At 53.0% G+C, this 27,995-nt stretch overlaps 1 protein-coding gene across 2 annotated transcripts in view, besides 3 other annotated features; it reads right to left on the reverse strand.

Annotated features, from left to right (window-relative positions):
* Positions 8,883-9,693: an enhancer, noted in NCBI's record as "H3K27ac-H3K4me1 hESC enhancer chr22:22271290-22272100 (GRCh37/hg19 assembly coordinates)". NCBI's record gives its function as "activates a minimal SCP1, AML or CMV promoter by ChIP-STARR-seq in primed H9 embryonic stem cells {active_cell/tissue: H9 hESC(primed)}" and the evidence as "EXISTENCE:reporter gene assay evidence [ECO:0000049][PMID:30033119]".
* Positions 11,391-27,995, reverse strand: part of PPM1F (protein phosphatase, Mg2+/Mn2+ dependent 1F) — a 33,424-nt gene continuing 16,819 nt past the window's right edge. For both annotated transcript variants that reach the window (NM_001410836.1, NM_014634.4), the window contains 5 exons: positions 25,990-26,192; positions 25,357-25,545; positions 23,114-23,257; positions 17,535-17,628; positions 11,391-15,437 (listed from right to left, as the gene is read on the reverse strand). In NM_001410836.1, coding sequence (NP_001397765.1) covers positions 15,058-15,437; positions 17,535-17,628; positions 23,114-23,257; positions 25,357-25,545; positions 25,990-26,043 — 861 coding nt within the window. In that variant the 5' untranslated portion in view covers positions 26,044-26,192 and the 3' untranslated portion in view covers positions 11,391-15,057. The remainder of the gene's footprint in view (positions 15,438-17,534; positions 17,629-23,113; positions 23,258-25,356; positions 25,546-25,989; positions 26,193-27,995) is intronic.
* Positions 11,869-12,528: an enhancer, noted in NCBI's record as "H3K27ac-H3K4me1 hESC enhancer chr22:22274276-22274935 (GRCh37/hg19 assembly coordinates)". NCBI's record gives its function as "activates a minimal SCP1, AML or CMV promoter by ChIP-STARR-seq in primed H9 embryonic stem cells {active_cell/tissue: H9 hESC(primed)}" and the evidence as "EXISTENCE:reporter gene assay evidence [ECO:0000049][PMID:30033119]".
* Positions 13,190-13,848: an enhancer, noted in NCBI's record as "H3K27ac-H3K4me1 hESC enhancer chr22:22275597-22276255 (GRCh37/hg19 assembly coordinates)". NCBI's record gives its function as "activates a minimal SCP1, AML or CMV promoter by ChIP-STARR-seq in primed H9 embryonic stem cells {active_cell/tissue: H9 hESC(primed)}" and the evidence as "EXISTENCE:reporter gene assay evidence [ECO:0000049][PMID:30033119]".

Here is a 27,995-nt window from a genome sequence, read left to right on the forward strand (position 1 = left end):
GAGTTAGGGAAAAGGGGAAGGAACATTGCAATTTCTAATCATTTGTCATGTTCGTGTCCCTGAGCTTATCACACACAGGTCTCAGATACTCAACCTTGAAATACAATGTGTCGTGCAAATTGTATCTTAGTTAAAAAAAAAAAAAAAAAAAGAAAAAAAGTGGGGAAGAATATGTGGACCATCTCAGCCAGAGCTCTAGCTTGGTGGGATTTACCTTTTCTTCCTGTGACCCCTCCCACCAGGCAGCTCTGTGGTCCATTGGTGGAGATTTGTTGGGGGTCACCCTGCCTTGTTGAGAAAGACAAGACCTGGGGCTCAGAGAGAGGTGTGGCCCCCCAAGGTTGGGCCTGTGCAATGCACCTGAGAACTTCAGAGGTTAAGTGTGAGGACTAAACTCTGATTTTTTATCTTGCCCAAATTCCTATCTAAGGGGTCTGGGGAGCCAAGCCCTACAAACCATAAATTCTCTTCAGAGGGGTTTTATTTAACCCTATTGTATCATGACTTATTTCCAGCCTGACTCTGGCATAGGATTATGAGACAAGGAAGAAAATAAAAATATTTTACCCCAAAACATGTTTCTTTGCCATATTTTGAAATGGCCCTGCAAAGCTGTTCTTTGTGGTAGAAAATTTGTCTCTGTAAAGAATCTCTGTCCGGCGTGGTGGCTCACACCTGTAATCCCAGCACTTTGGGAGGCCGAGGCGAGTGGATCACCTGAGGTCAGGAGTTCCAGACCTGCCTGACCAACATGGTGAAACCCCATCTCTACTAAAAATACAAAAATTAGACAGGCATGGTGCTGCATGCCTGTAATCCCAGCTACTTGGGAGGCTGAGGCAGGAGAATCGCTTGAACCCAGGAGGCAGAGGTTGCAGTGAGCCGAGATCACGCCACTGCACTCCAACCTGGGGAACAAGAGCGAAATTCTGTCTCAAAAACAAACAAACAAACAACAACAACAAAAAACTCTATTAATATAGCTAGATCTTTTTCTTCTATACCCTCCCAATCCTAAAGAGATTAACTAAGAACTAAGATCTGAAGCTGGGCGTGGTGGCTCACGCCTGTAATCCCAGCACTTTGGGAGGCTGAGGCGGGTGGATCACCTGAGGTCAGGAGTTTCAGACCAGCCTGGCCAACATGGTGAAACCCTGTCTCTACTTAAAATACAAAAAAATTAGCCGGGTGTGGTGGTACACACCTGTAATCCCAGCTACTCGGGAGGCTGAGGCAGGAGAATCGCTTGAACAGGGGAGGCAGAGGTTGCAGTGAGCCGAGATCGTGCCACTGCACTCCAGCCTGGGGGACAACAGTGAGACTTCGTCTCGAAAAATAAATAAATAAATAAATAAAGAGATTAACTAAGATCTGAATAGGAAATATTTGTCATTTATTGTCTCTAAGGGCAGCCACTATAAGTCTTCAAAAGAACTTTGGTCTCCACGATCTTTATCTTAACCAGAACCTTCCCTTTCTATGAATCCCAGGTTTTTAGACAAACTCAACCAATTGTCAACCAGAAATTTTTTTAATTCACCTATTGCCTGGAAGTGCCCCCCCACCTTTGAGTTGTCCCACCTTTCTGGACCAAACCAATGTATTTCTTAAATGTATTTGATTGATGTCTCATGCCTCTCTAAAATAGATAAGACCAAGCTGCGCCCCGACACCTTGGGCGCATGTTCTCAGAACCTCCTGAGGGCTGTGTCACGGGCCAAGTTCACTAATATTTGGCTCACAATAAATCTCTTCAAATATTCTGCAGAGTTCAACTCTTTTCATCGACAAGTCAAAAGAACAGCCACCACGTCTGCATCTATTCGATGTCAGCATCCCCACCTGCAGATGAGGGGAAGGTCCCTTGCCCAAGGTTGCCAAAGTTGGCAGTGCTGAGCTTTGAGCCAGGTCTTTCCTTTCTACCCCTCTGCCTGCCCTGCCTTCCACATGGGAGCTTCCTCCCCATCCTGCCTTTGTTGATGCTGACAGATCAACTTGGTGAATTACATCCTTCATTCAATAGACACAACAGAGTCATGTAGACATCATCTCTGGGACCCAGCCCTGTGCTAAAGATACCAAAGATGATGAGAACATGGCCCCTGACCTGAAGAGGTTATAATCCAATGGTAAACAGGTACATAAAGAAATAAAAAAAACAAGGCCAAGGCAGGAGGATCGCCTTGGGTAACTGTCCAAGGGGTTCACCTTGCCCACTGCCTAGACAGAGCCGATTCATCAAGACAGGGGAATTGCAATAGAGAAAGGGTAATTCATGCAGGGCTGGCTGTGCAGGAGACTGGAGTTTTATTATAACTCAAATCAGCCTCCCTGAGCATTCGGGGAGCAGAGTTTTTAAGGATAACTTGGTGGGTGGGTGGAAGCCAGTGAGCCCGGAGCGCTGATTGGTCAGAGATGAAATCATAGGGAGTTGAAGCTGTCTTGCACTGAGTCAGTTCCTGGGTGGGGTCCCCAAGATCAGATGAGCCAGTTTATTGATCTGGGTGGTACTAGCTAATTCATCAAATGCACGGTCTGCAAAATATCTCAAGCACTGATTTTGGGAGCAGTTTAGGGAGAGTCAGAATCTTGCAACCTCAGCTGCATGACTCCTAAACCATAATTTCTAATCTGTGGCTAATGTGAGTCCTACAAAGGCAATCTAGTCCCCAGGCAAGAAGGAGGTCTGCTTTGGGAAAGGGCTGTTACTGTCTTTACCATCTTTTTTTAAATTATAAACCATAAACTAAGTTTCTCCCAAAGTTAGTTCAGCCTACACCCAGGAATGATCAAGGACAGCTTGGAGGTTAGAAGCAAGGTGGAGTCGATTAAGTTAGATCTATCTCACTGTCTCAGTCATAATTTTGTAAAGGCGATTTCATCAGGAATTCGAGACCAGCCTGGGCAACATGGCAAAAAATATTTATTTAAAAAAAAGTATTTTTTTAATAGATCTATTTTTTTTTAAAAAAGATATATTTTTTAAAAGTATCTATTAAAAAAATACAAAAAATTAGCTGGGTGTGGTGATGTGTGCCTGTACTCTCAGCTACCTGGGAGGTTGAGGTGGGAGGATCACCTAAGCCCAGAAGGTCGAGGCTGCAGTGAACCATGATCGAACCACTGCACTCCAGCCTGGGTGACAGATAATTTAAGATTAAGTTTGAGACTCTGTCTCATAAAAAGATGAAGAAGGAAATAGAGAGAGAAAGAGAAAGAAAGAAAACGGCATATCTCTGTTGTTCAGATGAGAAAAATGAGGCCCCAGGAGGAAGGTGACCCACCCATACCCATGTGGTTTTTTAGGGGCAAGAACAGACCTAGAGACAACTCTGTCCTCTGGTCTTAAAAGATAAGTCAGGGCCAGGCATGATGGCTCACACCTGTAATCCCAGCACTTCGGGAGGCTGAGGCGAGCGGATCACCAGGTCAGGAGATCAAGACCACCCTGGCTAACACAGTGAAACCCTGTCTCTACTAAAAATACAAAAAATTAGCCGGGCGTGGTGGCATGTGCCTATAATCCTAGCTACTTGGGAGGCTGAGGCAGGAGAATGGCATGAACCCGGGAGGCAGGGGTTGCAGTGAGCCAAGACGGCGCCACCGCACTCCAGCCTGGGTGACAGAGCGAGACTCCATCTCAAAAAAAGAAAAAAAAGTCAGGCTGAGGCAGGTGGTTTGCTTGAGTCCAGGGATTTAAGACCAGTCTAGACAACAGGGTGAAAACCCATCTCTATTTAAAAATAATAAAAATATAAAAATTTTTAAAAAGGCCAGGTGTGGCGGCTCACGCCTGTAATCCCAGCACTTTGGGAGGCCAATACAGGAAGATCACTTGAGTTCAGGAGTTTAAGACCAGCCTGGCCAACATGGTGAAACCCCGTCTCTATTAAAAATACAAAAACTAGCCAGGCGAGGTGGTAGGCACCTGCAATCCCAGCTACTTGGGAGGCCGAGGCAGGAGAATCACTTCATCTCGGGAGGCAGAGGTTGCAGTGAGCCAAGATCTCACCACTGCACTCCAGCCTGGGCAACAGAGCAAGATTCCGTCTCAAGGAAGAAAAAAAAAAAAAAGTCAGCTGGATGTGGTGGCTCACGCCTGTAATCCCAGCACTTTGGAGTCCAAGGTGAGAGGACTGCTTGAGCTCAGGAGTTTGAGGCCAGCCTGAGTAACAAATAAGACCTCATCATTACTTAAAAAGGAAAAGAAGAAGCCACCACAGTCAACACACTCACCAACTGCTCACCCTCTTGGGTAACCAAGGAAGTGCAAATTGAAATCACAACACGATGCTATTTTACATTCATTACATTGACAAAAATTTTACAAGTAGGATGGTCCCAAGTGGTGGTGAGGATGAGAAACGAGGTGGTGAGGACAAGAAACAACAGAAATGCTGTGAGCACTGACATTGGGTACAAGCCGATGCATGGCCTAGACAGGTGGGCATGAAGACTCAGTGCAGACTGGCCTTGTGGCTGCACACCTGTGTGGTCCCATGGGGCCTGCACCTGGTTTAATGTGATGCTGCTGCTGTACAGAAATCCCTGATATTTTATCAAGGAACTCTTTTTTTTTTTTTTTTTTTTTTGGAGACGGAGTCTTGCTCTGTCGCCCAGGCTGGAGTGCAGTGGCGTGATCTCGGCTCACTGCAACCTCTGCCTCCTGGGTTCAAGCAACTCTCCTGCCTCAGCCTCCTATGTAGCTGGGACTACAGGCGCACGCTGCCACGCCCGGCTAATTTTTTGTATTTTAGAAGAGACGGGGTTTCACCGTGTTGCCCAGGCTGGTTTTGAACTCCTCAGCTCAGGCAATCCGCCTTCCTCGGCCTCCCAAAGTGCTAGGATTATAGATGTGAGCCATCATGCCCAGTGAGCTCATATATATATATTGCTCATATATATATATATAGCTCATATATATATATTGCTCATATATATATAGCTCATATATATATATATATATAGCCCATATATATATATAGTGTGTGTGTGTGTGTGTGTGTGTGTGTGTGTTTTGAGATGGAGTCTTGCTCTGTTGCCCAGGATGGAGTGCAATGGCACGATCTTGGCTCCCTGCAATCTCCGCCTCCTGGGTTCAAGCAATTCTCTGCCTCAGCCTCCGGAGTAGCTGGAATTACAGGTGCCTGCCACCACGCCCAGCTATTTTTTTTTGTATTTTTAGTAGAGATGGGTTCATCATCTTGGCCAGGCTGGTCTTGAACTCCTGACCCGGTGATCTACCCGCCTTGGCCTCCCAAAGTGCTTGGATTACAGGCATGAGCCATTGTGCCCAGATGAGCTCATATTTTAATTTGTAAATTAATTTTAACTATTTTGTTTTATTTTATTTTATTTGAGACAGAGTCTCATTCTGTCACCCAGGCTGGAGTGCAGTGGCGTGATCTTGGCTCACTGCAGCCTCCATCTCCTGGGTTCAAGCAATTCTCCTGCCTCAGCCTCCCGAGTAGCTGGGATTACAGGCACGTGCCCACTACCTCGCCTGGCTAGTTTTTGCATTTTTAGTAGAGACGGGGTCTTGCCATGTTGGCCAGGCTAGTCGCAAACTCCTGACCTCGTGATCTGCCCACCTCGGCCTCCCAAAGTGCTGGGATTACAGGCGTGAGCCACTGCGCCCAGCCCTAAACATTGGGCCAATTGTGGTGGCTCATGCCTGCAATCCCAGCACTTTGGGAGGCCTGGGCAGGCAGATCATGAGGTCAGGAGTTCAAGACCAGCCTGGCCAACATAGTGAAACCCCGTCTCTACTAAAAATACAAAAAATTATCAGGGTGTGGTGGCGGGCGCCTGTAATCCCAGCTACTCGGGAGGCTGAAGCAGGAGAATCGCTTGAACCTGGGAGACGTAGCTGAGATGGCGCCATTGCACTCTAGCCTGGGTGAGACAGCAAGACTATGTCTCAAAATAAATAAATAAATAAATTTAAAAAATGTTTAGGTCAGGTGCAGTGGCTCTCATGCCTGTAATCCCAACACTTTGGGAGGCTGAGGCAGGCGGATCACTTGAGGCCAGGAGTTCAAGACTACCTTGGGCAACATGGTGAAACCTCATCTCTACAAAAAAGTAAAAAAATTAGCCATGCATAGTGGTGTGCACCTGTAGTCCCAGTTACTTGGGTGGCTTAGGTGGGAGGCCAGATTGAACCCAGGAGGTCGAGGCTCCAGCGAGCCAACTGGACTCCAACCTGGGCAAGAGAGTGAGATCCCACTTGTAAAACAAAAAACAAACAAAAGACCAGGTGCAGTGGCTCATGCCTATAATCCCAGCACTTTGGGAGGCTGAGGCAGATGGATCACTTGAGGTCAGGAGTTTGAGACCAGCCTGGCCAACATGGTAAAATGCCGTCTCTACTAAAAACACAAAAATTAGTGGGGCATGGTGGCAGGCGCCTGTAATCCCAGCTACTTGGGAGGCTGAGGCAAGAGGATCTCTTGAATCCAGGAGGCAGAGGTTGCAGTAAACTGAGAACGTGCCATTGCACTCCAGCCTAGGAGACAGAGTGAGACACCATCTCGAAAAAACAAACAAACAAAAAAACGAACAACAAAAAAAAGGAAAAATTAGAATAAAAATGTAAAATTTAATTAAATTTTAATGCAATTAATTTAATTTTAATTTACAAATTGCATAGCCTGCTCTGCCCAGCATTTTCACTTCTTGGTGTATACCCTAGAGAAACTCCTGTGCATGGAAACCAGGAGACCCGACAAGAATGTTTATGGCAGCTCTGTTTCTGCAAAGATCCAGAAACCCACACAGCATGGATGAATTCGAGAAACATATGCTAAGTGACACAAACATGAAGTATAAGAAAGCAGACAGTAAAATGTCATTTTCAGAAAGTTAAAAGATAAGCAAAACTATACAGCAGTGTGTAGGGATATAGACATAGTGGTAAATCTATGAGGATGATTCTAACATTTAGGATACTGGTTAGAGGGTGAGTGGTGGGGGCGGCCGAGGGTGAAGTCTAGAAGGATCTTCTTATTATGGGCAAAGTTGTTTTGATGTTGGCTGGTGGGTCTGTTTCACTGTTAGGCTTTGGAGCTGATCTGGACATCAATTCTCAAGGTGTTGATGTCAAAGGCTTTGTGTTTTAAAAATGGAAGAAAGCCAGGCGTGGTGGCTCACGCCTGTAATCCCAGCACGTTTGGAGGCCGAGGTGGGCAGACTGCCTGAGCTCAGGAGTGAGTTTGAGACCAGCTTAAGCAACATGGTGAAACCCCATCTCTACTAAAGTACAAAAAATTAGCCAGGCATGGTGCTCCACGCCTGTAGTCCCAGCTACTTGGGAGGCTGAGGCGAGAGAATCGCTTGAACCTCGGAGGCAGAGGTTGCAGTGAGCTGAGACCGCGCCACTGCACTCCAGCCTGGGTGACAGAGCGAGACTCTCTCTCTCAAAAAAAAAAAAAAAGAAAAAAAAAAGGAAGAAGATTTTTGTCTTCCATTTACTGAAATAAAACAGCACCTGATGAACTGCTCATATAGGATTGTCAGGGCTTGATATCTGTGTCCTTATAGACACATACGGTGTAAGAAACTTCCACTATTTTTTTCTAAATGTCTGCCTACAAACTTTTCTTGGTGCAAAAATCTTTCACTTACTGAAAGAAAACAGACCATGATAAGCTGTTCAGAAAAGTCTGCTACATTGTTGGGATCAGGCATTGAGATGGCAGGGAGGGAGTGGGCCCCAGAGGCAGGCCTTTGAGCCTCCTGGGGCTGGGCAGTGAGTGAGGAAGAGGTCCCCTGACTATGGCCACAGTGACTGCCTAGGACAGTGGTCCAAGGAGAGGCCTGCCTGTGATGGGGCTTTGGTGCCACCATGGCTCCCTGTGCTGCTCCTGGAGCTAACACATCTGGCCAGGACCCTCTATGGGGGTAGGACAAATCCTCAGGGCTGGCTCTCGAGGGCTTGTGCCCACTTCTTGGCTGTGGGAGGCCCAGATGTCCAGAACACCGATGTCCAAGTCCCAGGAAGCAGATCCAAGACAGCTTTGTGTATGGAGCCCCCCAGCTGAGGTCCTGTCCTCAACTGGTTCAGAGCCTGGCTCCACCCAAGACCAGCCACCTGTTCTCAAGACCAGGTGAGAACAGGAGGGATCTGCAGGACCACAACGCAGCTGGGATCCAGGGACCTTCTGAGGGAAATCTGGGGCAGGCCAGTCATCAGCCCTCCCAGCCAGGATTCTTGCCTCTGTTTCCCTGGCTCTGCCTCACGTCACCTCTTGCCTGGGGGACCTTGGTTTTGGGCTCCCTTCCACCAGCTGAAGCCTCCATTTGGTGGGTGTGAGGCCCAGTCCTAACCCCCCAGCTCCCCACCCCTTCCCCAGGCAGACTCTGGCCTCAGCTGTCTGTGCTAGACTTAGCTCCAGGTTTGGCCCCCTCCTGACTGAGGGGTTGGCTCACACCCCTTTCACCTCCATCCCCACCCCCACTTGCCACACTGTGGCCTGCTCCCATGGGTGAACCCCCTGTAGGTGCCAGGCAGCTCCAGCCCGTCTGCCTGCCTGTGCACCCTCAGTCCCTTGGGCCTCCCCCCCCCCCACCCAGAGGTCCTGAGAGAGGGTGCTCTCCGGGATCAGCTCTGTGAAAGTGAGGGGCAGACAGAGAGCACTGAGCCACTATCTGGCTGTGAAGATGAGTTTCAGACACATAAGCCAGTTCACCAGAGAACAGTCAAGACAGCAGATACTTAGGAAGGAAATCCTGCTGGGAGCTTCAGAGGAGCAGGGGTGTGGGGAGGAGGACATGGATGCTTGAGTAGGTGTGGTGGGCGGCCCAGGGCCTGGTCCCAGCTCTTGCATCCGGGGCTAGTTCCCCTGCTTCCCTAAGGATGCCCCCTCTGTGACACAGTGGACACAGATAAAGCTGTCTTTTGGCTAGGCGCGGTTGCTCACGCCTGTAATCCCAGTACTTTGGGAGGCTGAGGCGGGTGGATCACAAGGTCAAGAAATCAAGACCATCCTGGCCAACATGGTGAAACCCTATCTCTACACAAAAATTAGCTGGGCGTGGTGGTGTGCACCCGTAGTCCCAGCTACTCAGAAGGCTAAGGCAGGGGAATCGCTTGAACCCAGGAGGTGGAGGTTGTAGTGAGCCAAGATCGCACCACTGCACTCCAGCCTGGAGACAGAACAAGACTTCTCTCAAAAAAAAAAAAAAAGCTGCTTTTCTGGCGCTGGTCCTGGAGAGTTGGAGGCTGCAGCCCTGGGCAGCAGGCACTGCCGGGAGCCGGGGGAGGGGACTGAGAGCTCTCTCAGGTGGCTTGGGAAGGACCAGGAGAAAATGCACAGACAAGGCTACAGACAGGAGAGAGGAGGCCTGCAGGCAAAGTGGGAGTGGGGAAGGCACCGGGCTCAGGCAGCCCTAGGACAGCTGCTCCCATGCGCCCACAAGCCTGAGGGCCTCCCCCACATTCTACGGAGAAGTTCAGGGCAGCACTTTTGGCCGTGGCTGGGCAGTGTCTGCGGGGAGGCATTTCTGATGTTTGTGTGCCCTTGAAGCCTGAGCTCAGCCAGGAGCACAAGGGCGAGTTTCCCGGCCCCTGCTGCCTTGCTTTCTCTTGATTGAGAAAGGAACCAAAGATCAAAAGGCAGTGAAGAATTGGGGACTCTGAGAAGGGTGACTTTCCAAGGCTTGGACCCCTTAGCAGCTTTGCGGCCTAGGGGCACTTGACCCCTGTGTGATAAGCCGAATCCTCTTTGTCTTAGGTGGGGAATTGGTAGCTGGCTCATCCCTTGCCCCAGCACCTGCAGCAGCGTGGCAAACACTTGGCCAACATGCGCTGAAGGACTGGTCGACAGAGTCCCACGACTGGCTGCTTCAATACTGACCCCCTGAGGGCACTGAGAAGGCTCTGAAGCCGTCTCCAAGAGCAGTTTCATGTGTGCTAGGAGCTGCAGCCACATGGGACTGGGCCTGTGCGTGCTATCCTGGGGCTTCAGGGGGAACCAGCCCTCCAGCCTGCTAAGCGACCAGCAGCAACGCTCGGGCCAAGGCCCTGCATTTTGCTGCTGGCCGTCCTTGGGTGGGTGAGGCTACAGAGGTCTGGACTGGAGGTTGTGGTTGGGGGCCACAGGTCTAGAGCAAAGGGAGGCAGGTGGGCGGGCCTTGTGGGGGGTTCCCTAAAATCCATCAGGTGTGGTGGTCCTGAGGTGAGTTTCTGATATCTGTCCAAGCAGCCATCAGGGGCCAGTCCCTTCCACCAGGAACAGTGAGGCTTGCCCACCACCGAAGCGCTGCTCCCCACCCCCTCAGCCTCGCTCCCCCACCTAGTGCAGCCACCACTGCCATTCCTAGTTCTCTACCAGGACCCCAGGGCTTAGCACTGCCCACCCCTGCTGCTGGTGGATCTCTCCAGGTCTTCTGTTAAGGCATTTTTATCTTTTTTTTCCCTTAAAATTCCCATGACAGATTACATAAAAGCATTTTTAAAGCATGTTCACCGTACTAAAAAAAATTAGGATTTAGAAGAAAACCTAAAGGGGGGAGGAAAAAACCCCCTATAACCCTGCCCCTCAGGGAGCACCAGCAGTGAACCTGCAGTGGATTCACTTCTGGGCGGCAGCCGAGCTCCCATGTGGGACAAGTGCCATGCAGGCTTCGAGGATGGCGGAGCGGGGTGGCGGGAGCAGGGGGCAGAAGAAAGGCTCAGTGCTTTGTTCTTTTTTTGAGACAAGGTCTTGCTCTGTCACCCAGGATGGAGTGCAGTGGCGCAATCCTAGCTCACTGCAGCCTCAAGCTCCTCAAACTTAAGCGATCCTCCTGCCTCAGCCTCCTAAGTAGCTGGGACTACAGGCTTGTGCCATCATACTGGGGCTAATTTTTTGATTATCTGTAGAGATGGGGGTCTCCCTATGTTGCCCAGGCTGGTCTCAAACTCCTGAGCGCAAGAGATCCTCCCACCTCAGCCTCCCAAAGTGCTGGGATTACAGGTGTGCGCCACCACACCTGGCCTCAGGAGGTGCCAGGAGGGTATAAATGGTGGGCCTCAAGAGCGTCATGTCAGAGGGTCTCCATCCTCAGGATGGAACCTCCTGGGGCACATCAGGCTCCTGGATAAAATGAGGGGTCCTCAATGCTCCTGTGGCTCCCCAATGTCATGTGAGGTCCCAGGGGCTTAATCCCTTTCCTGTCACCTTCCTGCTGCTGGTGGGGGTGGGCTCAGAGCCCCTCAGGGAGGAAAATCAGGTTGCTGGCTAGACCAGGAGGGTGTAGGCCACCAGGGCTCTCTCCAGAATTTGTCTGCTCGCTTCGCAAGATTTGCAGATGGTCCCCAATATTAAAGCAGCTTCCAAACACATCTGGACATCAAAGGGGACAAGATGCTCAGAAGTCAGGAAGAAGGCAGGACTCGGGCGACAGAGTTCAGAACTTGTGGTTTATTGACACTTCTGCATGGTGGGTCCTTGGGAGACTGCCTTTCTGGCATCTTGGGACTTGTCCCTAAGAATAGGGAAGACAGTCATCCTGTCCTGGAGCAAAGCTCCCCCTTGCACAGGAACACAACTCCCATGCAGGAGAAGCCCACCGAGACGAACGCAGATAAACCCTTCGCAAGGCCTGCACTGCACCGGAATGGCAGAGCTCCGTGCATTTGGCAAAGCTATGGAGCCTTGGCAGAATGCACAGGACTCTGGGGGCTGCCCCCCTTGAGCTACAGAGGCAGAATCGAACCAAAAACACTGCTTCCTTTAACACAGCCCAACTGGCTTACATTTAGCTTGGGACGAGGCTAGGCCTAAGAAGGGCCAGAGCTGTCCTCCCAGCCCTGGGAACACGGCTGAGACGGCCCGGTGCCCACGCTGGGCTCACCATAGGAGAGGAGAGGAGAGGGAGGGGGCCCCATACTGGCCCTGCCGTCTGCACCCCGTCCCTTTCCCCACTAAACACACCCATTTCCTATCCTGGGTTCTGAGGCTGGGACTGCCTCTGGGATTCTGAGGGACTGCCCTCCACCCCTGCAGGCCTGGGCTCAGAGTCAGCCACACCTGTAAGGCAGGCCCTGCTTCCCCAGCTTTTGTATTCCATATACGGTGCTGGCATGTGGAGCTCCATTCTTCTCCAGCCCACTTAATTTTAAGAATAGACACTAATAAGACTTAACCACCCCAACCTGCTGGCAGCAGGAGGGCCCCTGTGTGCTGGCAGCATCTCCCCAGGACACGCCGGCTCACCTGCACCCACAGCGTTCTAGGAGGTCGCGGCCTCTGCAGACTCAGTGCAACCCCTGGGCCTTACAAAAGGGACACTCAGAGGTGCACTGCCTGCTCAGCTCACACAAGGAACAAGTGGAGAGCTGGGCTGGAGAAAGGATTACAATTTACAGACCAGTGTCCCTGGCTAGGGGCCCTCATGGGACTGTGGCTGGAAGAGAAGGTCGCCCCGGAGGTTGGAGGCTGAAGACACCTGGTGCTTCTTGGTGCAGTCCTGGTCAAGATGGAAGAGCGCTCCTCTGTGCCCAGCTGCTGTGCAGGGGTGGACGAGGGCTCCCTCGGCCCCAAGGCAAGGGCGGAGCAGCTCCCAGTGCTGGCACCAGACCTCTGCCAGGCACGGGGCATGGCCATCCTCTGGGGTCCTGGCTCAGGGGTGGGGAGCGGCAGTGCTGGGACAAGCCTGGGGAAAGGGTTTCCCATACACTGAGGCTGCGAGATCTTCCAGTGGAGCCTCAGGCTAGGGTATGAATCAGACCACCAGGTGATAGGAGCCAAACCTCCACATGGTGAAACTTCACTCTCGGCAGCCAGGAACAGAATTATTAGCAAAGAAAAGAGAAAAGCAGATGCCAATCATTCTCTCTCTTCGTCAAGGTTATGCCCACGGGCAGGGTGGGCTAGTGGTGAGGGTGGAGCTGCGTCCCTGACCCCCAGAAGGAGACAGCAGGCCTTCAAGTTAAGCCAAGCAATACTTGGTCATTGTTTGTGGCCAACCATTCTCTGAATGTCTGAATGACAGCGACTATGTTTAAGGTTTTTTTTTGTAAATAAGAGACCTTAAGCAATGCATTGACTGCATGGTCTCAACCTCATCTGTGCTGTGAGAATGAGGGGTAAGGCTGGGCATGCAGGTAGGGCCCCAGCAAAGCTGGCTCCCCGCTCCCTGTGGGACAGAGGGCTCCCACCGGGAAGGCGGCTCTAGCGTGCCTCCTCGGCGAGCTGAGAGGAGGCCAAGGTGCTTGGGGCACAGCTGTGCAAACCTTCCTGGGGCTCTCGCTGTCTGCAGGTGGACTCTGAATGCCTTCATGGGGACCACACAGCCCAGCTTCCTCCCTTTCTCCTCTCCTCCCCCTGCACTGCTCTGACCTGCCTGGAGCAGCCCTGCCCACCTCCAGCTCAGCCCTTCCTGTGGCTTGGCCCTGCAGATGGCCTCTGAGTCCTCCCCTAGCCCCCTGCCCTCTTCCCTCTACCCGACACCCTCCCCCAGCCTTGCCACTTTCAACTTTGCACGCCCTCAGTGAGCTCCCTGAGGCACCCAGGATCGGTCACTTGTGAGCCCCCTCTCAGGGTGCACTAGGGGACGTGGAGCTCTCATGCCTGTTCAGGGCATGGGGCAGAGCAAGGCAGGCGTGCTGCCAGCCACCGCGGCAAGGTGAGGGGCTGTGGCCTGTGCCATGGACTCCCAGCAGCATCCCTGCTGCCTCCAGACTGAGACAGAGACCCACGGGCTGCCTCTGTGCTTGCCTGAGCCTCTTAATTAAGAGTCTTTCCCAATGAGACCAATTTGATTACAAATTCACAAGATATTTGGGAATGTTCCAATCACACAGCAGCAAGGTCCCTCTGCCTGGGATCCAGCCAGGCCCAAGGGGGTGGGAATGCAGGCAGATGGGCCAAGGTCACCCGGGATGCCCAGAGCCCCGCTGTCGGGCCCAGGCACCACTACGTGGCAGTCGCAGCTCCTGCCAGTCACCTGGGCAGCGGGGGGAGGGGAGAACCTTGGGGGTGTTCAGCATCACAAAGAGGCGGAAAACTCTTCCAGAAAGATCTCACCAAAATCATGCCTCCCTAACAAAACAAATCCTGCTTTTCTAAAAACCTCAATGGGCCTATCCGAGCCCACTGCAGTCCTAGTTTCTTCAAAGCTGTGTAAGGCACTTGAATGGCTTATTAACACCACCTGGAAAAGTTCCTGTTTCAATCCTGATTTAGAAAATAAATTCAATAATACTGCAAAAAAAGGTTCCTTGAAAAATAGCTTTAAAAAAGTAAATACTTAAGTTTTCTAAAGAATAAAATAAATGCTAAGCTCTGCTTAAATTATATGACACAACAGGTCATCTTGGCACTGATAAAACAAAGAGAAAACCTGGAATACTGCTTCGGAATTAGACCTCCCTGGAAAAAAACAAACACACCAACAAAAGACACATGTGCGTCGCCGGTTCCGGGCTCAGGGAAGAGAGCAGCCCGGAAGGCCCTGGTGGGCCCAAGCACATCATGGCTGCCCTGGAGTGGGGGCAGGGGGGTGGCTGCTACAGAACAGACCCCTGGCTCTGCTGCGCTCTCCTCTTTGGGACACTGGTGTGGCCGACCAGGACTGGCTGGGCATATCTGTAAATATGAACCCACCTGGCCCTGGCCGCAGAGAGGAGCAATGGGAAACTGGGGCTGGCCACTCCGCTGCTGGGCCTGACCCAGGGGGTGCTTCAAGAGTTTGGCTCCTGGGTCCGCCCCAGGGTCCCACGTGCACAACCATGCTGCCCCATGCACACCAGTGTCTTTGGTTTGGCTGCCGTTGGGCACCTATGACCTCTGGTCCCACCCCGGGCCTAATAGGAGCTGGGAGCAAGAGCCGGTCCATCTTCTCTTTGGTGAGGTCTCCTAAGCTGCCTTCCACCATCTGCCCGCCACCCAGTGCAGTTCCACAGCCACCAGGACGGGCTGCGGGGGGTGTCCCGACTGGCTCTGGGGTGCTGGGGAAAGCACTGTGGGGCGGGCACCCTGTCCACTGCCTGCCACCTGTTGGGTCCTGAGGCTTCTGAGGGAGAGAAGGACAAGGATGGGAGGAAGGGGAGGGCAGGGGCCTGGAAACCACCTAGCTTCTTGGTGGAGCCTGGGTCTCAGGTTCTGGAAGGCTGGAGGGCAAGTCCTGCCTCCTCCCTTCTGCCTGGGGGTCCCCTTCTCCCTGGTTCCCGCCCTCCAGCAGCTCTTGGGGGTCCCTGAGGAAGACCACCATGACCGTGATGTTGTCGTGGGAGCCCCGCTCCCGGGCCGCAGCCACCAGCTCCTCGGCGACACGGAGCCCGCTGCCCTGCTGCCTGGTCAGGTGGCTCTGGACCAGGCCAACAACTTCCTGGTGGGGTACGACGTCAAAGAAGCCATCACAGGCAAGCAGCAGGTAGTCCTCGGAGCCCGTCAGCGCCCGGGAAGCTGCATCGGCCTCCCCAGACACGTAGGGCTTCTGGAAGACATCCCCTGGACAGGCGGAGAAGAGCCCGGGTCAGAGGACCACGGTGTCCACAGCTTCCTCCCCACCTACCCAGGCCTAGACCTCACATCCTGCAGGGACAGAGACCAACCTGCTCTCATGGGGTCTGGGGTCTGTTGCTCCCTTATGCAAACTGCCCAGTACTTCCCACTTGCCTGGGAACGGAAACCCCTGACCTTGGCCTGTGAGCTCCCCCTTTTTTTCTTTTTTCTTTTTTGAGATGGAGTCTTGCTCTGTCGCCAGGCTGCAGTGGCGCGATCTCAGCTCACTGCAACCTCTGCCTCCTGGGTTCAAGCGATTCCCCTGCCTCAGCCTCCCGAGTAGCTGGGATTACAGGCTCGCGCCACCATGCCCAGCTAATTGTTTTTTTTTTTTTTTGTATTTTAGTAGAGATGGGGTTTCACCATGTTGGCCAAGATGGTCTCGATCTCTTGACCTTGTGATCTGCCCACCTCAGCCTCCCAAAGTGCTGGGATTACAGGCATGAGCCACCACACCAGGCCGAGCTCCCTCTTTCTCTGCCCTAGCCGTCCCATCCTGGCCTCACTTCCTGGAGTGTCCAGAGACACAAGGAAAGACACAGCCTGAGGATGGGCTGTCAAGAAGGTGCCACATCTGCCAAAAAGGACAGAATGTTTCAGAGGGGTAGGTGCCAAATCCCTGGCAATCAGCTGGGGAGGGAGAGATTTTCTAAGTACCAGGAAGGAGGTGTGGTCACAGTGCCCACAGCCTGAGACCCGGCACTGACCGCATGCTGAGACAATGAGATGCAGGCTGGACCCACTTTTTTTTTTTTTTTTGAGATGGAGTTTCGCTCTTGTCGCCCAGGCTGCAGTGCAATGGTGCAATCTTGGCTCACCGCAACCTCCACCTCCAGGGTTCAGGTGATCCTGCTGCCTCAGCATCCCAAGTAGCTGCGATTACAGGCAGGCACCACCACGCCCGGCTAATGTTTTTTGTATTTTTAGTAGAGATGGGGTTTCACCATGTTGGTCAGGCTGGTCTCGAACTCCTGACCTCAGGTGATCCACCCGCCTTGGCCTCCCAAAGTGCTGGGATTACAGGCGTGAGCCACCGCGCCCAGCTACTTTTTTTTTTTTTTTTGAGACACAGTCTGGCTCTGTTGCCCAGGCTGGAGTGCAGTGGCACGATCTCCGCTTACTGTAACCTCCGCCTCTGGGTTCAAGCACTTCTCCTCCCTCAGCCTCCCAAGTAACTGAGATTACAGGCGCGTGCCACCACACCTGGCTAACTTTGTATTTTTTGTAGAGAAGGGGTTTCACCATGTTGGCCAGGCTGGTCTCGAACTCCCGATCTCAGGTGATCCGCCCACCTTGGCCTCCCAAAGTGCTGGGATTACAGGCGTGAGCCAGCATGCCCAGCCAGACCCATTACTTTTTAAAATTTTTATTTATTTTTATTATTATTTTTTGAGACAGAGTTTTCCTCGTTATCCAGGCTGGAGTGGAGTGGCGCGATCTCAGCTCACTGCAACCTCCGCCTTCTGGGTTCAAGTGATTCTCCTGCCTCAGCCTTCTGAATAGCTGGAATTACAGGGGCTCACTACCATGCCTGGCTAATTTTTTGTATTTTTTTTTTAGTAGACATGGGGTTTCATCAGGCTGGTCTCGAACTCCCGACCTCAGGTGATCCACCCACCTCGGCCTCCCAAAGTGCTGGGATTACAGGCGTGAGCCACCGCGCCCAGCGAACCCACTTTTTTCCCAAAAGAGAAAAAAGGATTGTCAGCATGAACGCGGGAGGAGGATAAACCTCATTTCCGGAATATTGGAAGCTCTACTTCCAGCCCATAGGGTGGTGAGCCACAGGTTTCTATGAGATTTGTAGGAGCTGTTTTAGGTGAGATAATAACATACAGTGTAACTTACACTCAGACACTGGTGCTGCAGTCTCTGAATCTGCCCTGTTCCCTTCACACTACGAGGGTATCACCCCAGTGCATGACAAATCCCCCTCGGCCCATCACACTGCCTCCCTGAACCCCTGGTGAGCCGCGGGCCACACTCGAGGCCTGGGCTTCCGAGAGACCTTCTCCCACTTGGGTCGGCCTCTTTGGCTCTCACCGATGGCTCTGGAGACGGCCAGGGTCCCGTTGACTCTCCAGCAGTCCATGTGAGACACAAAGCCACCCAATGCTTCAATGCGCGCCTTCTCATCCTGCAGAAACACAGCCAGAGTTGGGGGCAGGGCCGGGGGGATGGGGCGTGAAGCCCCCTGCTGCTACCTGAGCAGAGGCACAGCTGCTTCTAAGACAGCAGCATTCAAAGCCGCAGCACTGGAACAAAGCCAGGAGGCTCAGAGATGCACCCAAACGAGGCTCATCAAAAACAGTGAGAAATTATACACAACCCACAAGTCCTTTAGTTGCAGGAATGGTGAAATGAACGGACCACCTGAGGCCGCCTAGCGGTGCCTGCGCCCCTGGGCAGCATTCTGGGTCAGGGAGGCACTCACGAGGCTTGCGAGCCCGACACAGACAGCAGATCCTTCTGCTTCCCTGTCTCTAGCTCGGGGACACCGTCTCTGCCCTGAAAGCTGCTGGGCCAAGATGGAGCATGTGACGTGAGTGGTCACACAGCAGGGAAGCCTGAGCGAGGCCCTGACGGCAGCCTGTGCCCGCCCAGTTCTTTTTTTTTTTTTTTTTTGAGACAGAGTCTCGCTCTGTCACCTGGCTGGAGTGAAGTGGCACGATCTTGGCTCACTACAACCTCTGCCTCCTGGGTTCAAGTGATTCTCCTGCCTCAGCCTCCTGAGTAGCTGTGACTACAGGGGCGTGCCACCATGCCCAGCTAATTTTTTTGTGTTTTTAATGGAGACAGGGTTTCTCAAAGTTGGCCAGACTGGTCTCGATCTCCTGACCTCATGATCCACCCTCCTCGGCTTCCCAAAGTGCTGGGATTACAGGTGTGAGCCACCGCGCCTGGCCTAGTTCTTGTCCTCCTCTACCCAAGCTCAGCACAGGCACAGTCTCCACTCAGCTGGGGACCACAACACCCCAGGCCTGGGTTCCTCCAGGGACAGGACAGAGGCTTGGTCCACCCACAAGTCCTCTAGAAACCTCTTTGGTCCTATCAGCCTCTGCCCAAAGGAGAGGCTGCCCCGATGAGAGCCTGCTGACTGAAGCCTGCACAACAGCATCCCTGACAGAGTGACGGAGGCACCCTGGGAGTGAGGCACCTCCCAAGTCTACTGGGGGAAGAGGGCATCCCTTACCGGTTTATCAGGTAAACCTCTTGACCCCACGCAGCACCAGCCCTTCTAGTCCCCAGGCACAGCACCAGCTGGGCATGAGAACTCTGATGCCCCAGGTGATGGTGTCCCCTAGACAGATTGGGATATCAGCCAATTCCCTCCCCAGAGCAGACGGACATGCACTGCGGGAGGCCTGGGGGAGGCAGCCCTCTCCAGATGCCTGCACCAAGGACCAGGCCTCTTTATGTGGCTCCCCTGCAGAGGGCATTGTGGTGGGAATGACATGGGTTTGCAGGAGTCCCGGCCTTCCTGGGCACTGCAGCCATGAGCCTGTGTGGGAACTGGACCAGTGCCTGGTAGGCTGGGTGCTCCTGTCCCAGCTGAGGTGGAGAATCAAGCCATGAAGGGGGCAGGAACAGGGACCTCAAGGCTCTCTCTGGGTCTAAGATCTGCCACCTCCGGGGTCTGAGCAGGGCAAGGGAAAGGCAAGGAGGACCAGGAAGGAGGGAAGAGCAGGAGACAGCCAAGAAGAGGGCAGGAGAAAGGGCACGGGGAGAGGCAGGTGGATGAACACAGAGTACGCACGAATGTTCACACATACATGTGCCCACACACACGCGTGAAGGCGCCTGCAGACGGCGAGGAGCTGCAGAGGAAGCAGCGCCTCCTCCCCTGTGCCTCAGAGGCGTTCCCTGGGGAGGGGCTGTGAGCGTGGGAGGCTCCAGGGAGAATGAGGAGCCTTTCTCTGCTTCTGTCTCCCACACACCCCAGCCCACTCCAGCCCCTCAATGTCCCAGAGGCAGGAATGTGGGCAGGTGATGGAGAATGAACGGCAATCTGCTTCCCATGCCCTCTGGAGGTGGCTCTCCCCCACAGGGGGCCATGCAGGCTAAGCTTAGAACCTTCCTACCTGAAGCCCCTCCCCACCACCAGGGATGGCTGTGGGACAGGGTGGAGCCAAAGGGCAGGAGGGCACAGGGGCTGTGCTGCTCCCCTGCAGCCTGTGATCCCCTCTCCTGCCATTCTGCACCCCCTGTGCTGGACAGGCTGCGCCGGCTCCCCGGGCTCGCCCCTCTAACCCTGGCCCTGAACCTGGGTCCTCCTCCCCTCCAGTGGCTCCCACCTCCGTCACACACTGGCCAGGCTCAGTCTGGTCCGGGACTAACATATCCCCAGGCTAAGGGGTCTTGTCCCATTCCCCCTGAGTCTCCTAGTCACTGATTCTTGATTCTGTTTTTTGTTTTGTTTTTTTTTTTTTTTTTTTTTTTTTTTTGGAGACAGGGTCTTGCTTTGTTGCCAAGGCTGGAGTGCAGTGTCATGAACATAGCTCACTGCAGCCTCGACCTCTAGGGCTCAAGCCATCTCCTGCCTTCGCCTCCCGACTGCCCAGCGCCCACCCCCTCAGCAGCTCTTCCCTCTGCTCCTCAAACCTCATCCTCTCCACCTGCCTGAAACAGCTTCCCAGGTCAAAGCTGGAGCCGGTGGCCTGTGGGTTCCTGTGAACAGCCATTTCCTGCTTCCTAGGAGTGCAGTGCTCCACACGGCCAGGCCGCAGCAGCGTCGCCTATGGCACTGCCATCCTCCTGGATGCCCAAGGCCCTCTGCGATGTCTCCACCTGCAGAGCCGGGACTCCTATCTCTCCCAGGCTGCCTGCCAGGCGTGCCAGCGTGACCTGTGACCTTGAGTGACTCTCACTGCCCTCCTGAACTCACTTTTGTGACCCAGCCCTCAACTTGTCCTCCAGTGGCCTGATCACTTCAGAAGCTTCTAGTGAGTCCTTACAGAGTTCCTCCCAGCCTGGGGCAGTCCAGCTTTTCCAGCTGAAGGAGCAGCAGGTGGGTGGTCTTCTCCCCTGCCCCGAGTCTTCTACCCACTGATTCTGGGGCTTGTTTTTGTTTTTTGAAGACAGGGTCTCACTCTGTTGCCAAGGCTGGAGTGCAGTGTCATGAACATAGCTCACTGCAGCCTCAACCTCTAGGGCTCAAGCCATCCTCCTGTCTCCTGAGGCTTGAGAGGTGGGAGGATCACTTGGGGCACACCTCCACACCTGGCCCTGATTCTGGCATAACCTGCCCTTTCCTCCTGGTCTCTCCCCTGGCCTGCAGGAATTGCAACTGCCTGAGATGCGGCTCCATTCCATTCATCTCTCTGCCTCATCCTGCCAGGTCCTTGCCCTCCTCCTGCTCCCCCATTAGACTTAGAGGCAGGAAGTGGGTCCTGTGTTATCTCACTGCCTCAACAAAGTATCTTGTGCAGAGTGGGCACTCAGTGTTTGGAGGCTGAACTGAGTGCAGAGGCAGGAGACTGTTCAGACAGCCGCAGAACAAGGCAGAGCACCACGCACTCCCCCCACGTACTCCTGGAAGCTGCTCTGGGCCGCTGCTGGACCCCCGTTGAAGCTCGCCAAGTTGAGGCCAGTTTCTTGCTCTTGTAACCGACATGATGCTTGTTTTTGTGGGAGAACCTTGGCCTGGATCTGTGATTAATTCTCTAGGGTGGAAGGCTGTGATCAGGATCACAGCAGGAGGGGCCAAGCCTACAGAGCATGGCGGCAGGAAAGGGGAGGTGGGGGGCACTGGATCTGAACTCCTTGGCCCATGCGGGCTGCAGCCAAGAACACAGACACCTGTGTGTGCTTCTCTTGTGCAAGCTCTGATCTCTGTGCTCCACATGCACTGGGACACTCAATCCTTACCCCAAACCTCCAGGGACCCCTGTGTGATGGACTTGGAAGCGGTGGAGCCGGGACCAGGCAAGGCCATCTGTCCATGCTCTGCCACGACGCCATACTGCAGGACTCAGGCAGTGTTTGAACAGAGCCCCCACTGGGCTTTAATGGGGTGCTGAATGCTGAGCCTGTAGGTGTGCAGGCAGCAGGTGGGAGTGGGCCCAGCACGAATCCTGACTTGGCCACATTTCATCTGACTGCATATCCTGGGGAGGAGAGCCCACTAGGGAGCAGGTGCCAAATTCCCCCACGGTGGTGGAGGCAGGGGAGTGGCAGAGACTATCTGTGACTTTGGCGGTGTGCTCTGGGCAAGTGACTGAGCCTCAGTTTTCTCCTCTGTACAATGGGGAGAGGACGTACAGGGGGCCCATACCAGACCGTGAGCCGCAGTGAAAGGCCAAGGAATGTAGCTGCCCCTGACTGTTACAATCATCAAGTCCTGGTGTCTCTATGTGCTTTCCAAACCAGAAGCCACAAAAAGACTACTCAACTACAGAAAAACACAAAGCCTCCATGTGGCAAAAGCCCATAAACAAAAATAAAAGATGCATGGAAAAACATTTGCAAATCATCACAGACAAGGAACCAACCTCCTTCACATATACAAGGAACCTATAAACTGATAAGAAAAACAGGCAAAGGAAAAAAACAGTGTTTGCAGGAAAGGCTGTGTAAATGATCTTCAGCTTTTGAAAACACGCTCAAACTCACTCTGTAACAGAAAAGCAAACTTAACAATTGCCCCAAGACAGGCTTCTTACCTGACAGGAAGAATCCTGCAGCCTGGTGAGACTGTGGGGAAATGGACCTTCTTGGGAATGTAGTGCCAGCCCAGGCTGGCATGGCCTGAGGTGGGAAGCTTGGCAAATCTACCCAGACTGTACGTGCATCAGTTCCAACCTAGCCATCCCACTTCTGGGGATGTGTCCTACAGATATAGGTACACTTGACTCTGAGCAATTAATGCTGCACAAAGTAGGTAGAGATGCATTGTTTTTAGCACCGAAAGACTGAAAAGATCTTCATGCTCACCCACAAGGGACTGCATGATGAATGCAATGTCCGCAGCCCCAAGAAAGGATGGGTGCTCCTATGTGCTGACGTAGAATTATCCACCATGTGCATGGTTAATCAAACATAGCTGGTGGAGAACAGCACGTGGGAAAAGTGGGGTTTGAGGGATAAACAGTCATTCCATGATATCTGAATGCTCGCAATCCAACCTCAGGAGACACATGGATGAGACAGTCTTCTGAGAAGAGGTCTGAGTGGGACTGTCATCCTCATGTCCAGGTGATGACCTGAGTGCCAGGGTCCCAGGCAGCCTCTAGTCAGTACAGCCCCAAGCCAGGTTCCCTCCAGCCTCGGGGCAGCATCACCTCCCTGAGGCCTTCCTCACCCACAGCCTGTGGCCTCCTTGTCCGTGTGTATGATGGGCTCTGGTCTGCACTGGGCTGCACTGACTGCACTGGGATGCCTGTCAGTGCAGAGGGCTCTGCTCTCCCCCGGAGCTCTGGGCTCCATATAGCTGTGACCCACAGAGCTCTCAGGAAGGGCTCACGTGGGACCCCCGGCCACTCAAATCAGGCAGGGAGCCCTCCCTCTTGAAAGGTGCCAGGATTACTACTACCTGAAGTTCCCAGGCTGGGTGGGGTTCCCCTATGGGCCCAGCATGATGGAGGCCAGGAATATCCTGGGCCTGGGCGCAGGGATCCCCTTACCTGCCGTTCTGGTCTGTGTGGCTCCATCAGCTTCACCACCTGTCCCTGCTGTACCAAAATGACCTGGGAATCCCCGAGCCAGGCGACGTGCAGGGTCGCTCCTGCAATGAGCGCACACACACCTGTGGTGCCGCTCTGCAGCCGCTGCAGGGAGAGAGGGCCCATGAGAGTTGAGAGGAGGTAGGGAAGGGCAGAGGATGACACGGGGCAGGATGAAGCTTCCGGGGGTGATGAATACTTCCGTTACTGTGGTGAGGAATCCACAGGTGTATATGTGTATAAGCCAAAACTTGCCAAATTGTGGACTTCAAATATGCACCACTTACTACCTGTCAATTGTATCTCAATAAAGATGTTTATTTATTTATTTATTTATTTATTTAGAGACAGAGTCTTGCTCTGTCATTCAGGCTGGGCTGCAGTGGCACAATCTCGGCTCAGTGCAACCTCCGCCTCCCGGGTTCAAGTGATTCTCCTGCCTCAGCCTCCCAAGTAGCTAAGATTACAGGCGTACAGCACCACGCCTGGCTAATTTTTTGTGTTTTTAGTAGAGACGGGGTTTTGCCATGTTTCTTTCCCAGGCTGGTCTTGAACTCCTGAGCTCAGGCAATCTGCCTGCCTTGGCCTCCCAAAGTGCTAGGATTACAGGCGTGAGTCACTGCGCCTGGCTATTTATTTATTTAGAGGCAAAATCTTGCTCTGTCACCCAGGCTGGAGTGCAGTGGCACAGTCTCAGCTCACTGCAACTTCCATCTCCTGGGCTCAAGTGATTCTCATGCCTCAGCCTCCCAAGTAGCTGGGACTATAGGCGCGTGCCACCATACCTGGCTAATTTTTTTTTTTAATTTTTAGTAGAGGCAGGGTTTCACCATGTTGGCCAGGCTGGTCTCAAACTCCTGACCTCAAGTGATCCACCCACCTCAGCCTCCCAAAGTGCTGGGATTACAGGCATGAGCCACCGCGCCTGGCCAATTTTTGTATTTTTAGTAGAGACGAGGTTTCACCATGTTGGCCAGGCTGGTCTCGAATTCCTAACCTGAAGTGATCCGCCGGCCTCTGCCTCCCAAAGTGCCGGGATTACAGGCGTGAGCCACTGTGCCCAGCCTCAATAAAGCAGTTACGCCTGCTTCAGAGAATCCCTTTTCTACTCTGAGGCTGCCTTGAGCTCAGAGGCCTTTGTCACTTCCTGGGGCTGAGGTGAGAGGCCAGGAGTGGAGGCTTGCCTGCTTTTCACTGGGGTCCTTGCAGCTGCAGAGATTGCATGGTTTTCTATTGAGATGCAAAGCCTGGCTCTGCTAATTTCCATGAAGGTCTGTGCTCAGAGCGTGTGACAAAAGTGCACCTTTCCCCTGGTGTCTTCTCACTGGGGCGGGTCTTTTAAGCAACCTGAGCCTCAGTTTCCCAATGTCTAAAATGGGTACAATATTAGTATTCACCTCACAGGGCTACAAGGAGGACCTAGTGAAATTCTGTGGGTGAGGTTCAGAGTGGCTAAGTTCACAGAGGAGGGGCCTGATGCATTTGTATTCTTTCTTCTTTCAGAAACAAATGCCTCATCCCTGCACATGGCTATAACTCCCGAGGAAGGATTGTTCCCAGAGGACGTCGGTAGCCTGCTGAGACCCTGCCTAGAGGAGGAAGGGGAGGAAGGCAGTAGATTAATCAGGTTTTACATATTCCGCCTTTTATGATGCTTTGACAACTTGGGGCCTTGCTGGTCCTGGAGGGGCTGCCCCTTCCCAGGCCAGCTGATTCCTCGAGACAGCAAATACCTGGGGAGGATGCAGAGACGGCTCTGGCCCAGCTTCCCTCTCTTCTCTCTGCGCCCCGACTACCTCAGTGCTTTCCATGCATGGCTCTGTGAGGCGTGGCCCCTCCTCTCAGGAACTGTGAGTAGTAGACTCTTTGTTAAGGTCCTGGTCTGTGTCTGTCACCTTGCCATATCTCATTAAAACAAAATCCCAGGAACGCTTGACCACAGCTGCCTTCCCCGAGGCCAGCAGACCCTCTGCGCCAGGCAGGTCTGTGTGGCTGAGAGGCCCACCATGCTGGGTCGGGGCAGGCTTTGTGCTGCTTCCGTTCAAGTGAAAACCAAGCCCCTTTAGAAAAAATGGCAGGACCACCGGCAGTGTTTAGTGAGGACCTTCCAGCACCACCAGCCCCTTTGGCGTTTTTCCCGCTGCAGAGGCTGGGACTCTCACTGGCCTCCAAACTGCACCTGAGGCCCAGCGGCCAGTCCTCACCTCTCGCTTGGCTTTCCTGAGAAACATCTGGTCGGTGCGCCGGAAGGCTTCTCTGAGGGCTCCCTCAGGGTCTGTGGGCAGCTCTGGCTGGCGGGCAGCGTTGGTGTGCACGTGGACAGCGGCGTACCTCGCAGCATCCACGCCTCCGTGACCATCAAACACAGCAAAGTAGGCGCGGTTCACAGGGTCCTGGTGGGGATGTGGTGGGAGTCACAGACCCGCGGGACCCAGGGTGCTCCCAGTGGGGCGTGGCGCCAGGCACTGATGGGGTAGAGTCTGGGAGAATCAGTATGGCCTTCGCCCGGCTTATGTGCGTATGAGGGGGTAGGTTTGGAAAAGGACAGCTCGCGGGAGCCTCGGTTTCACCATCTGTTATGAGTTGCTACAAGCATAAAATGAGGGGCTGCCCCAGGTGGCTCCTGGTGCAGGAGTCAGGGGAACGTGGCATCCAGGCCTCCCTCATAACAGACTCACACTGTTGCCCTTCTTAGTCTCTTGCTGGGCAAGTACAGGGGCTGACGGGTGTCTCTCCTGTCTCAGCCTTGGTGGGCAGCTCTTCTCGGTACCTGGGGGGCCCCCACCCTCGCCCCGGTCCTCCGAAGCTGTCCCCAGGGTCTGGACGGGAGCACTCACAGACAAGCCGAAGAGCTGGTTGAAGGAAGGGAGGGACACGTGCCGGTCCTCCATCTTGCGGCGAGTGTTCCGGATGGCGTGGATGGAGACCAGCCACTGCCGCTGTGAGGCCCGGGCAGCCAATGGCACCTGCTTCTGCCACTGGCCGGCGACTTCCCAAAGGCGGTTAAAGAAACTCTGTGCCAGGCTTTGGGCATCCAGCACTGATGGGCACAATGGAGGGATTGTCAGGGAAGTGCCAACCAAGCCAGCTGAGGCCTCGCTGGCTCCCTGACAGCTCCCACAGGGGCCTGCAAAGCCCCCATCACCTCCCGGGGCATTGTGAGCACATCAACTCAATAACGCGCACATGGCAGCCTGTTACCAGAATTAGAAATGTCTAGTTTGGCAACTTGCCCCTTGAAGTCTCCCATCCCACCATGGAGCAACTCTACTCATGGGAACCCACCCTGAAGAAATCATCAGAAACACAAAAATAATTTTAAAGACAAAGTACAGAATCACTTATAATTGCCCATTAATTAGAAATACTATATATCCAATGACAAAGGAATAATACTTAAATTATGATCTAGTCTCGGCCAGGCGCAGTGGCTCACGCCTGTAATCCCAGCACTTTGGGAGGCCGAGGTGGGCGGATCACCCGAGGTCAGGAGTTCGAGACCAGCCTAGCCAACATGGTGAAACCCCGTCTCTACTAAAAATACACAAATTAGCCAGGCATGGTGGCGGGCGCCTGTAATCCCAGCTACTCGGGAGGCTGAGGCAGGAGAATCGCTTGAACCTGGGAGGCGGAGGTTGCAGTGAGCCGAGATCATGCCATTATGCTCCAGTCTGGGCGACAGAGCAAGACTCTGTCTCAAAAAAAAAAAAAAAAAAAAAAGATCTAGTCTCTTGATGAAGAATTAAGCTGCTATTAAATATGATTTTCATAACGAAATATGCAACTCCCATACGACCCCACCGTGGCACTCCTGTGGACTTATCCCAGAACAATGAAGGCTGTTCACATAAAAGCTTGAACACATGAACACAAATGTTCATAGCAGCTTTATCTGGAACAGCCAAAATCTGGAGTCAGCCTAGATGTCCTTCAACGTGGAAATGGTTAAACAAACCGTGGTCGACCCATACCTTTGAATACCACTCAAGAATGGCAAAGAATGAACTCCTGATGCATCAAACAACCTGGGCTAATCTCCAGAGAATTAAACCAGTCCCCTAAAGTTACACATCATATGCTTCCATTTATATGTGTTCTTGAAATAATAAAATGGTAGAAGCCGAGAAGATTAGTAGTTGCCAGTGGTTAGGGATGGGGTCTGTAGGGGTGGGGGTATAAGGGTGGCCTTAAAAGGGTGACAGGAGGGATCCTGGTGATGGAACTGCTCTGTATTTTGACCATGTTAGGATCCTGGTGGTGATATTTTATTATAGTTTTGCAAAATGTTACCATTGGAGGAAACTGGGTAAAGTATACATGGAATCTCTTTGTATTATTTATTACAACTGCATGTGCAGCTATGATTATCTCAAAACAAAAAGTTTAATTAAAAAAAACTAGCCCAGGCATAGTGGCTCATGCCTGTAATCCCAGCACTTTGAGAGGCTGAGGTGGGAGGACTGCTTGAGGTCAGGAGTTCAAGACCAGCCTGGATAACATAAAGAGACCTTGTCTCTTAAAAACAAACAGGCTGGGCGCCATGGCTCATGCCTGTAGTCCCGCGCTTTGAGAGGTAAAGGCAGGCAGATCACTTGAGGTCCGGAGTTCGAGACCACCCTGACCAACAAAGTGAAACCCCGTCTCTACTAAAAATACAAAAATTAGCTGGGCGTGCTGGCATGCACATGTAGTCCCAGCTACTTGGGAGGCTGAGGCAGGAAAATTGCTTGAATCCGGGAGGCAGAGGTTGCAGTGAGCCAAGATTGAGCCACTACACTCCAGCCTGGACAACAGAGCGAAACTCAGTCGCAAATGAACAACACCAAACCAAAAAAAATTAGCT

The sequence above is a fragment of the Homo sapiens genome, chromosome 22 (genome assembly GCF_000001405.40).
Source record: "Homo sapiens chromosome 22, GRCh38.p14 Primary Assembly".
Lineage (NCBI taxonomy): Eukaryota > Metazoa > Chordata > Mammalia > Primates > Hominidae > Homo > Homo sapiens.